Source organism: Homo sapiens, chromosome 18, assembly GCF_000001405.40.
Source record: "Homo sapiens chromosome 18, GRCh38.p14 Primary Assembly".
Taxonomy (NCBI): Eukaryota; Metazoa; Chordata; class Mammalia; order Primates; family Hominidae; genus Homo; species Homo sapiens.
The window spans coordinates 55907485-55920516 of record NC_000018.10 but is presented as its reverse complement, the minus strand read 5'-3'; the positions used below and the strand labels follow the sequence as shown (position 1 = coordinate 55920516).

The 13032-nt window shown below is 39.5% G+C and overlaps 1 long non-coding RNA gene across 1 annotated transcript in view; it reads left to right on the top strand.

Annotated features, from left to right (window-relative positions):
* The first annotated feature begins 317 nt into the window (after nt 1-317).
* Nucleotides 318-13032, top strand: part of LINC01416 (long intergenic non-protein coding RNA 1416) — a 38512-nt gene continuing 25797 nt past the window's right edge. The window contains exon 1 of the long non-coding RNA NR_110755.1: nt 318-355. This is a non-coding gene — a long non-coding RNA (long intergenic non-protein coding RNA 1416). The remainder of the gene's footprint in view (nt 356-13032) is intronic.

Here is a 13032-nt window from a genome sequence, read left to right as displayed (position 1 = left end):
TACCATGACACTAAGATCAACTGTTTCTGTGTCTGTCTTTACCTAACACTCTCTGATGGTGGGCACTAGATATTATTTGACTCCATGTTACCGTGTTACCAGCATGGAGATGAATATCATCTGTTGCCTGCCATCGAGTGTACAATAGACACTCAGTTTACATTTGGCTAATGAATATTGACTGACATGGTGGAAGATCAGGCAGGGAAGAGTTCTAAACCACAATGCCAACACACAATGGTGTGTCATTATGAGACTAGGGTTGACTTGCCTCTTAGTGACACAGCCTATAATTTGAGCACATCACAGGGAATTGCAGTGTACAGAGCTGCTGTCTTTTGTAGATGGGAAAAAGGTGAGTATGTGCTGATGCAGGCATTCTCCAGTGTCAGGTGAGGTAAGGCAGAACATAGCTTCAGTTATTAGTACATTAAAAAAACATGAGTAACAAATAAGAGAGAGCAGAGATCCCTAAAGAGGACAAAGGCAGTTGGAGAGGGATTCAATTAAGACATATACCATGATAGGCACTAAACATCTCACTTTAAGAAGTATTTAAGGAAATGATTTATCTAGGTTAAGATCTTAAGACAAAAATTATTCATGTGAGACAAGTTGTAGTGGAATTTTATTTTCAAGTCTTTTTTTTTAAAGAAAATTTCAGGCTGGGCGTGGTGGCTCATGCCTGTAATCCCAGCACTTTGGGAGGCCAAGGCAGGCGGATCACAAGGTCAAGAGATTGAGATCATCCTGGCCAACATAATGAAACCCGGTCTCTATGAAAAATACAAAAATTAGTGGGGTGTGGTGGCACGTGCCTGTAGTCCCAGCTACTCAGGAGGCTGAGGCGGGAGAATCATTTCAACCCGGGAGACAGAGGCTGCAGTGAGCCGAGATTGCACCACTACACTCCAGCCTGGCAACAGAGCAAGACTCCGTCTCAAAAAAAAAAAAAAAAAATTCCACGATAGTTGTGTTGTAATAGGTTTTATCAGCACAGACTTTTACCATCACTGAGTGTATGATGAGAACATCCTGCTATCTCACAATGGTCACTGTCAGAAGACAGAGAACACATTTCTTGTTGACTTTGATGCAACCTTGGACAGCATCTGTGAAGTATAGGGAGAAATTGCTTTGACTTTGGGATTTGGTGACAGAAAAGTAAGAACTTGAAAGACCTGAGGCTGGGTTCTTAATTATCTGTGTCCCAAAAGTAGGAGATATTTCATGCCTGAAGAATACCTTGTCCAGTTTCTAAGTTGGCTTCTCTCTGTTGGACTTTGTTGGTTTCTGCTGCCCTGAGTCCTGACCATGGCAGGAAGCAAGGCGGGAAGTGAGTCCTGAGTCCTAACTTACCCCCAGTTTAATCCTATACCATTACTCCCCACCTTTCCCTGAGTCTTCCTGTTTGGACTGTTACCCAATCCTAACAAGATAGGCAATATATACCAAATAGCACCACACAATCCAAAAATATTTTATGATGTGTCTCTGCCTACACTGATATCCAATTCATAGCCAGTTGGATTTGTGGGGGGCGGGGGGTAGAAGTGGTGAAGCATCCCTTTCATTCTCTTTTTAAAGCACCTTCTAGAATTTTGGGTGGTTTTTATTTTTTGGTTTTAATTTTACATTGTTATGATAGCTTATAAGTAAGAAAGCATTCCAAGTGCTTTTAGTGACATTTTCTTATACAGAGGCTGCCATCAACAGATTTGATGACAGACTTTTTTTTAAATGATAACTTTGCCCCTTTCTCTAAATCACAGATAATCACAAGCAGAGTTGGTGGTTTTTTCAAATGGTTGCAAATCTCCAACCCATGTGATAAAAGATGCTGACATTAATATTCTGGTATGCAAGCTAATTCCTTCAGCCCAGCTGTGAGGCAGAGGCTCTGTGACCGAGGTGAGACCGCCGCAATGTGCAGCGTGTACCGGGTCCTCTGGAAGGCTGATCTGTTACTTGCACCTTGTGCAAATTGTGGCAGCTTGACTGTTTCCATGGGTGTGCAGAAGTGGCTCTGTTTTCTCGCTGCTGCTTTCAATTTACTGGCTGCCTTGAAAGGTTCAGAGAGGGCCCAAGGTTTTACTGTTAACTATTTATGTCCTGTCAGTTTCTAGACTTCATTCATCCTTGAACCCTCTGGCATCAGCATGTGATTACTTGCTTATATAGGAGGGACGAGCAAACCTAATAAATACCATTTAGCTCCTGTGTCTGCAGTATGTTCATCAAGCAAATCTCCATGTTGCTTCAGGCCCCCTAAAGCAGCCCAGTGTTTAGAGATGAAAACTATGTTAAGTTGCAAAGATGTCCCTTTGCAGAGGCAAAGTACCCCTACTCACCTTGCTACTTTCAGGATACAGCAGCAGTTAACCCTATAGTTTCTTATGGCATTGTCTAGTTATTTCTTGCATGTGCTCTTGTCTTTGCATACAGATTTTCAGGTCCTTTGGTTTACAAGGTAGTGTCACCTTCCTTGAATCCTCCCCAGCTTCCAACTATAGAGTAGGTTGCAAAACAACCCTTACTGCACGTGCAGAGCTAAGCACAGTGTGCAACATACAGGAAATGCCCCATAAATGTTTGTTGTTACTGAAATTAAGGGAAAAAAGAAGCAACAAGTTTTGACACAATGAGAAAGTATCTGTATAATTTTGCCAAATTCCTTCTTTTCTGTCTGCTCTTCTTGACCTATGGACTGACATATGGAACCCATAAATACCCCCATCCCAATCTTTGTGATCTCTACCAACGGCATATGGTACTCTAGCCGAAACCAACTCTGCAAGTCCCTGCAGCCAAGTATCTGTGCCAGCCAGCTTCCTAGGTTCATGTGGTACTGGAATGCCCTCCTGTTCTTATCCAGGTGAAAACCTCAGGCCTCTCCTTGCATAAGGTTTTTCAGGCCTGACCTCTACCATGAAGCAGATCACTCATTTGTGTCTCCAGGTTAATCTGTACCCTCTTTATTTTATTGATCTTACTGATTGATAGATTTTATTTACTTAGATCTCTCTCTTCCCTACCAGTTGTAAGCCCTCAGAAAACCAGGTTGTGTCTTATTTATCCTTGTAGCTCAGTACATGACTGTATTAATCCGTTTTCATGCTGCTGATAAAGACTGGGCAATTTACAAAAGAATTACCATGGGACTGAGCAATTTACAAAAGAAACAGGTTTAATAGACTTACAGTTCCACATGGCTGAGGAGGCCTCACAATCATGGTGGAAGGCAAGGAGGAGCAAGTCACATCTTACATGGATGGCAGCAGGCAGAGAGACAGAACTTGTGCAGCAGAACTCCTGTTTTTAAAACCGTCAGATGTTGCGAGACTTATTCACTATCACGAGAACAGCAAGGGAAAGACCTGCCCCCATGATTCAGTTACCTCCCACCAGGTCCCTCCCACACACATGGGAATTCAAGATGAGATTTTGGTGGCGGGGCGGGGATATAGCCAAACCATATTAGTGACATATAAGGTGTGATAAATAAATGTTTTCAAATGAAAGCATGAAGGTCTGTCCTCATGTGTCCATTTCTAGGGTCACACTTCTCCTTCCCCACTCATACACTCCATCTCCCCAAGCTGTGAGCTCCTTCCACCCTCTGACCAGCTGTGTCCATCCAGCTGGGCCTGCAACCTCTTCCTGATACTTGCCTGACAACTCTTAATTACTTTTGCTGTTTTGTTTGTTTACTTTTTGGATTTCCTCTGCTAACTCTTGATGGGGATCTACTAATTATTGTTTATCACCAAAATTCTTTCTTCATCTGAGAGGGAGGTATGCTCATGACAGGTATTGATGGAGAAAATAAAAGATATTAACTATCTCGAAACAGTTTAGTTCACTCCAGCTCTCCAACACTAGGTGCTGGTGCAGATCTCACAAGAGACGGTTCCTGCCTGCAGGAGCTTAGAGTCTGGCTAGACAGAGAGAATCTATGAGAAAGAGGAGGCTGCATATATCAAGTCACAGCTTTTCAAAACAGTGAGCTGAAAAATGTGAAGGAAAAAAGTCCTATGAACAGATAAAGAGAGGAAACAAAAGCAGTCATTTGGCTCATTTGGTCAGAGATGGTCACGAAGCTGGTCAGTGGTTGAGCTTACACCAGAATCAAGGTCTCATATGGCCCTCCAAGGACTTGTTCTATGAGCATCTAGTCAGAATCAAAGCATTCTGTGCTGACAATCATGATGGATCTTTTGGGCATATGCAAGGTTCTCAATAAACCTGAGTCTTAATGTTGCCTCTTAGGGGTGGAGAGCAGGAGATGACCGAGAACCTTTTTGTTTGTTTGCTTGCATGCTTGCTTTTAATGGATCAAAGAAACAAGATGGCTAAGAGAGAAACTCTGGACCCACCCTGACTGGGTTTCACTCTTGGCTTAGCCTCCTTTTAGCTATAAGAACTTGGTTATGTTACTGAATAGCAATTTCTCTGTTTGAAACATGTGGATGATAAAGACACCTACCTCTTAGGCTTGTCAAGAGGATTAAATAAGATAATGCCTATCATACTGTTAGCATTATACCTGGCATGTAGCAAGTGACCAGCAAATATTACCAATTAGCAAGTAGAATATTTAATTTGACTTCCATGTTCAAATAGCTCTATCAGACTTGTTGATATTTCCACTGAATGTTTGAGATCATTGTGATTTATAAGTCACTGCAAAGAAAATATTCTAATGTATGAGATTTACTCAGTTCTGTAGATCTATTGCGTCCTACTTTCAACATAGTTATTTTTTACATGATGCATTATGCATATAGCTGATAGATATACATATAGATGATATACGTCTGACAGCAATGAAGGATGCCTGTTTTTCTAGTAGCCACAGATGAAGCAAGATAAAGGGAAGGTGGCAGAAATACAAAAAGAATTCTGGTGCCTATGGAAATAAGGACAAGGTACAATGGGTAAAGAGGGTTCAGGCAGGGAACTAATTTGCCCCTTGTCACTCCCACATTCACACAAAATCAGTGCATTGAGCTGAGGGAGAGCCTCTTGTGGGCTGTTCTTGGGCTCCTCTCCTTCTAGGGCAAGATAATCTCCACTCTTCTGCCAACAGCCTTCACATATCTTACAGGAGATGTAACCTGTCCAAAGACACAAAACTTATGCTGGACAAGCCAACACCGGGATCTCCATCTACACCTCCAAAGTTAAGACTTGGAAAGCTTCCCAGCTACCTTACTGCCCTATTCAGGAGAGGATACTTCTGGGTGATCTTTTATTTCTTATAGCCCTACAGAAGTGTCATGAGAATAGGTCTATAATTCATGTGTGTCTTATGGACTAATGAATGGGTGGATGGACGGAATGAAGGCAGCAAGGATGAATGCAAATAAGAAAAAGTCCCAAGACCAGAATAACAGGAGGGAGAAGTATCCATATGGTTACTTCAACAAATGGCTTTGAGAAAAAAAATTCTTCTTAGTTGTGTGGGAGAGAATTCTATGCGGATACTCTACATAAATATGGTAGCTGCAATCATGAAGATCTGGGGGAAAAAACGAAAATGACCTAGCCTCCAACACATTAAAATGAGAGCACGGCAGGGAGTCAGAGACAGAAAAATATTTTTTGAGACAGAAATGTTCTATTTTTTCTTTCCTTTTAACCATTCCAAAACTAACCATGGTGGGGTAAACTTTAGCAACAAGTAGGTCTTCATACTCAGTCCTGAATTTTCTTTTTTTTTAATTTGAGGAGCAAAGAATCAGGTCCCAGTGGGAGGAAGAGCAGAGTTGTCGTGCTTTTTGTACTTTGGTAACATCTTGAGTCAAAACAATCTTTTTTTTTTCAGTAGCTCAAGCTAGAAGAGCTTATAAGAAAGTGTAGAATCGATGAATGCAGTGCTGAAGGGACCTTGGGGTCCTCCTATAGACATATCTAATAGGTGATGGAACCTGTCCATGGTCATCTCACTCACCAGTGAATGAACCAATACCAAGATCTACATCTGCAGCTTCAAAGTGAAGAAGCCAAAAGCTTTCTAGCTCCCTGTTGCACTATTATTTTTAAAATAGTAAAGAGATATGTTGAAGGAGGCCTACTGTTTATGCTATTAGAGATCTATTTGGTTTTAATTGAGATAAGCGGATTTATGTAACATTCTACAAAAAGAGAATTACTACAAAACTGAACTAATCAAATATAGCTTTTCTTTCAGTTATAATAATATATATATTCAATATAATTATTTTATGTTCTTTGGTTGATATTAGACCAGGTTGTTTGTGATTTAGTTTCAACACAGATAAGGAACATTTATTTTACTTCATGTTAAAAACAATAATGAGAGAACCCATAGCAAAAAACTTTTTATTGGCATAGTTAGAGAAGATGTAAATAATGTACCTTTATCAGTGATGTTGCGGAAAACTGTAATATCTTAAACAGCACTATGGTTTTTGTTGTGTTTTATGCCAATTCTATTAAGTCAAAATATAATGAGTTGCCAAATTACTCCATTGACAGAAAATAGGCTTGATTCCATTCCTACCCTACCCCCAGGAGGGTGAGTTAAAATTATAATTGAAGAAATAGACAACAGTTGACAATAAGTGATGTTTGGATAAACAAATGACTAACAGGATTAACAGAGGTCCTTTTGGTGTAGAACCCAGGTAAATTTATGTTGCATGAGATTCACCTTCCCAAAGAACATATTTAGAAGCTGAGGTCATTTCCCTCTTTTAAAAACCTTCAGTGGCTCCCACTGCCTACAGGCTAAGGGTAGACCATCTTGGCCTGATATTTGACACCTAGCCTGGCACCTGTGCACCTGTGCCAGAGGAGCTGTCTCTACTCCTTACAAAAGCCTTGCGCTCCACTGAACTAATTTCCTAGGATTGATATTTCTTGATAAATAAGTAACATATAGTTCCAGAAAATGTAAAATGACTATGATCCAACAGAAGTTTCTTTCATGATGGAAAGGTTTCATATATGCTTTCCAAAACAAGGGCTACTGAGCACCTTATATGTGGCTAGAGATACTGAGACACTGCATTTTTACATTTGTTTAATTTTAATTAATTTAAATTTAAGCAACCACATTTGGCTAATACCATATTGTAGCACACAGCTCTAGAATATCACAGTGGATTATGGATGCATGCTTTAAACAACTGTTTCAATTATTTACTGCTGCATAACAAAACACTCCAAAACTCAGTGGCTTAAAACAACGAAAAAATTATTTCTCCAATTTTGTAATCTATTCTAGGCCTAGCTGAGTGGTTGCTTTGCTCTCCGTGATCGTTGCTGGGAGATCCAAGATGGCTCCTTCACTCAGCTGTCTGGTGCCTCAGCTGTGATGGCTGAAACAAAGGGGGCTGGCTGAGTTTCTATTTCTCTTTCTCTTCCCACAAGGTCTCTCCTAGTGGCTAGCCAGGCCTTTTTTACAACACAGTGGTCTCGAGGTAGTTCGAGTTTTTACATACAGCTGGCTTCCAAGAAAGAAAGTGGAAGCCTCCAGACCTCTTGACAGCTGGGATCTGAACTAGTCCAGTATCACTTCTTTCACATTCTGTTGACTAAAGCAAGTCACAAGGCCAGGCCAGATTTCAGGGGAAGGGATCTAGGCCTTATTTGTAAGGAGAGAAGTGTCACATGCACAGAAGGAGAGGAAGAATTGTGGCAGCCATCTTGTGAGATTACCACAGCAAGTCTAGCAGAGTTGACAGGGCATCAACAGAGCTGGTAAATGAAAAAATAAAGAGCCACTTAGAACACAAACAAAGGTAGCTTTGTATGGATCAGAGAAAGGAGAAAGGAAAGGGAAGTGGAGAATCAAGTCCACTCTAGGGAGACCTATGAGAGCAAAACATGATCAAAACAAGCAAAAACCATAAGATGACCACAGCCAAACTATAAGAGCACTGCTACCCATAAGAGGTGTGATGGATGAGCACTGATGAGTCCAGTGCAAAATACAGACCAAATGTCTCTCTGGTCCAACTTTGCCTGCTGAAGCTTCACATGCAAGCTCTTCATTAGTGATCATCCTGACCCTCTCTAGGATACTTGTCTTGATGTTCCATGCCCTCAGACTTAATGGCCCCTCACATAGAACCAAGGAACCTATCAGATTACAGCATAGAGCTGCAAGCTTTAGTCAAGGGGAAAAACATAACTGAGGAAAACTCTGAAGCCTTCTACATAAAGGGCTTATGATGAGCCAAACCACATTTGCCTTGCAGCAGAATCACTCCCACTTCCCAAATCTGTAGAAATGCCACAGCACCACACATGGGGGAAAGTGCTGGCAATGTTCCTGTTGGAACGAAATGAGGAGTTTTGACGAGACATTGACCCAGTTATCAGAACAGTGCAGGCTTTCTTATTGCAATAGTGATAGCATAGGACAACAGACATAAAAAACAGAGAGGCTTGAATTGTCTCTGTGTACCTTGGACAATTAATTTGACAACTGAATTTTTGATTTTTCATGCATACAATGAAGATAATTCCATCCACCTTGCAGGGTTGTCAGGGAGAATGAAATGCCAAAAAACATGGGTTCAATGCTATTTCCCATCCCTTATCCTCATCCGGAGTTTCCTTGATATCTCTTTTAGGACATTGAGTGGAGATCATCAAACTGTTAAAGAAATTATTAAATGTTCCACTGAGAGGGACAACCTCAGAAATTTAATAGTATTCCTGTAATAAATAAAACATTTTCAGAATTTAAGTTGCTTTCAATTGCATTCCACACTTTAGAGAGGTTTAAATTTAGTTGTCTTTTCATCTGGAGGAAATAATACTGCACCAGTCAGTAGCAGAAAGAGTCTTATCTAAGTTTGATGAATTTAATCCAACACAAATCTGCACAGATTAACTGCCATGGGAATGTACCATGTTAACTTATCCAATTTCACAGACTCCCACACAATGCTTCATCGTTAAATCAGCCAAATGTCCTTGAGAGCCTACTATGTACTCAGGCCAAAGGGAACAAAAAGACATTTTGATTTCTCAGACAACACATGATCTCATTGGAGAGAAAAATAGACATATTACAAGATAGATCACAATGCCAGGGTAAGCGTGGTGTATTCCAAATTAATGGTAGAGACCATAGGTGCTGTAAGATATGGAAAGAGAGTACAGCCACACCATGCAGTACTGCAGGCATGATTGCACCAAGAATGGAAGCTTTATATTAGGCCCAAAAGGAGAGAGCATGTAAAGAATGGGAAATGAGAAGAAAGTGCATTACTGAAAAGCAAGAGGCATGAGAGTGGTCTCACATAGGATGTGCAAGGCTTCATGCAGACTCAATGAGAATGCATGTCTGACTGGGGCATGCATGACTCTTGGGCATCATAAGAGAAACTGGGACTGGACCCCAAATCCTGGAGCAACAGGCCTGAATAGAAAGCACTGGGGGAAAAAATGTTGAGATCAGGAGAATGACATGCACCAAATGTTCTGTGGGAGTCTGGACTTATTGCTCTCCTCCCTCTCCATTTATATTTACCTAAATTTTGGTTTAAATATGAAAGCTCCTGCTATAAGCAGATCACAGAGCACCTAGCATAAAACCTTATGCATTGGTGATCTGTAATTTCCTATTGAGCTGAATTGAAATAATGACTCAAACAGCATTCTGTAACTTCCCTTGCTGGGTTCTATGAAAAAAGTTCCTGACAGCTGTTACCACCTTGGTCTCCTTCCTAGAAATGTGATTTCTTATCCCCTTAGCCAAATATGGAGACCAAATAGTAGCCTGAAGTCAGCAGTGAAAGGGGCAGAAAAAAACCTAAAGTTAGTAAATAAAGTTTTAATACAAATATTTCTTCTCATTCCTAAGTGTAGCCAAATGTATATGAAATACCTAGAAATGTGAGGGCCCTGCAGGTAGATTCATATTTTAGATGTGACCTGGGGCAACTGGAAAGTCCACTCCCTGACAGTCTTCACTGCCATTCTAGAACCTACATTCAGAATTGTGGATTCCTGTGCACTGAATCTCTCTCAATCTGAGCAGACGAGTTGACTAAATGTTTACTCTTGAACTTCTTTGAACACTAACTTCTGCTTTTCAGTTTGTCGTGTCAATTTGTCTGAGCACTGAAATGGAAAACTGAATAGTTATTTCAAAAGTACAGATGGAGCCCCTTGTTTACAGTATAATTCTTTACACCAAATGGAACTGCAGGAGGTTCAAAATTTGTAAAGGTCTTCCAAAAATCCAAACACATTATTCATTTCCACAAATCTGACAATTTTTGAACTACATAAATTCTTGAACAATTTTTTTAGTCCATTCGTGTTAACTGAGGTTAATTTGAAGATATTGCTACTTTCCAAAAGAAGTAGTTGAAATCCAGAAGGCAATTTATTCAAGAACATAATTCAGTTGCATTCATCTATCCTGGGTGAACAAAGAAATTACCTGTTAGTAAGGACATTAAATTAAAAAAAAATCAAGTCGAACTCATGTTATAGTTACTAGATAAATGTTTTTAACAAAGTGGGTAATGCATATCAATCTGCTTGCATGAAAAATAAGATACAGACATTACTTTTTCATGTATCTCATTAATTCTTACATTATTTTAATTACATTTGTTATAAGCATTTAGTTTTGTGCTTTAAAAAACAGATTTTTTGGTGAGGTAGGGAGAGTGAAATTTAATGGGAAGAGAATAATTTTAATTTACTTCAGCAAATTGCATTGGATAGAGAGATTATGGCCTAAACTAGCCAGTATGTTGACAATTCTCCAATGACAGGGTGTTACCGTTATAGGTGATTTTCAAAGCATGCTTTCAGAGAGAGCACAGTAAATACGTGTTCTTCTGGTGTATTTTTAAATTTTGAATGCTAAAACTGCTACCTATAAAGGAAAATGAACAGAGAACAGTGAAAGCTGGAAGTCTGGCTGATTGCCGGGCTTTTCGACTTTCTTTTTTTTTCCAACAGAGAAATAAAAATTGCTTCTTGAAATAAAATTAGTTTCTATCTTTGGACATCCTCAATGAGATGTTAGTGTTCAATTTGATTTAGATGGGGGAGAAACCCAAACCTGATTTTTCCAAATCACCTTTGCATTTCACTGCTGATTGACACAATAGTATCAGAGAGCTATGCCCCAGAGAGCAGGTTCCCAAAGAAAAAATAAACAATTTGCAAAGTGACTTGGATAATTATGTGAACTGGCCACCCAAGTGTGCCTTGCTGATACCATCAAAGATAATTGTGGGGAGGACGGAATCTAACCTCTCCTTTCAAAAACGAATATCCTTCAAAACAACAAAAGAAAAATTTGGAATTTCATGAGGATTACTCAGAATCCTCCAAAATAGTCTTAGCTTTGTCAAATCTGGATTTAAATGTCAGTAATTTAAGGCTAGCTTTATGAATACAATGTCTCTCTCCTGCAGCTGGGCCATATTATTTCAGTGACTTTTTTATGCTGAAGTTGGCTATAAGTTCTATGCTTGATTTATGAAGCAAAACACTCTATTTACTGTACAATGCTATAGTGCTGACATGCGGGGTCACTCAGTAATGCATTTGGAGTGGAGCGTGGGAACAGGGTTAAATGAGCAACATGCAATGGTTTATGAATGCAAAATGTGGCTTTTACAAAAAGAAAGCAAGATTCTAAGGGCCCAAATGAAAATTGTGACAAACAGTAGCAAGCTGTTGAATTTACTTGTAAGCACAAAGATTACATTTGACTCGGCAACTTTGAATCACACTGTAAAGTGCAAAGTACAAAAAAGTAAAATAAAAATGAAAGTACAGACTTCCCAATCACCCTCAGGGTAGGAGGGTTCCAAATGCTCATATGGGTTCTCCTTTATAACAACAGACTGTTTTTCAGGGACAGAGGAATATGGGAAATAAGTAGGGAAATGGAGAGTACAAATATTTTTGGAATTGATCACGGTTGTCAAATTTAAATGATCGATTACCTGAAAAACCACAGACATGTGCATTAACACAACACAGAGATAATTGTACCATATTCTGAATTTTAATTATAAAGTTAAAGCTAAGCACTCATATAGCTTCTTTCCTATAAAATCAACAAAAGATGAAATGAATGGATGAATGGTACATAGGGCTACTGATTTTTCTCTTTGGGTAGTTTTCTCTTTGGGGGAGAGGGGAGGAGAGAGAAAGCAATTTTTCAAATTTTATTAAATGGCCGTGAAAACCATATGGAATTCAGGTGTGAGCTGGAAAATATAAATGGAGAGAAGCAATCAAGTGATGTGCTGGTTCTGCAATCAATCTGTGATTTTTACTCTTATTCAAATTCTTCTAAAATCATTTGACTAACTAGAAATAGCAGAACTTTAGAATGAAATGTTCCAAGTTTGCCCCAGGTGGAAATTGTAGAATGCTTTTCTTAGCATGTTGAAATGTCAGAGAACATACCAAAGGAAAAAAAAAAGAGTATGCCACCAAAATGTGAGTCTCAGAGAGTCAACAGCCTACAAAGAAAAACAGGCAAGAACTATGCCTGACCCGATGAACAGCTGGAAAGTCATCAGTGAAAGGAAAGAAAAAAGTGAATGAGAAAAACACGTTGGTAGAAAGGCATTCTTTTGGAGGCAGATTCATTTTGTTGCTTCCATTTAAGATTAGGCAGCCACCACCACTTAACGCCTGTCAGGGCTGGATACTATTTTACAGTGAAAACAATGCCCACTTGAAGAAATAAAACTGATTACTTTTGAGAAAACATTCAGACAATTTTTTCCAGATTCTCCTCTGACATTACGGGAGACTTTGCCAGGGTTGCCACGTGACTCAAAACGATGCTGATCTTGAAACTGGAACAGCTGTGTAAAATATTAAAGCTGACTTAAACATGTTCACTCTATGAAAAAAGTAATCAAAAGGTAATGCCCCAGAGCAACTGAATACTGTAAACTTATGAGGAGATCATTCTTAGATACTAAGGGTGTGACCCAAATGCTTCACTGAAACTTAATTTCCTGCTAGCCAGGCAAAGAATGACAAACACCTAATTTGACTAAG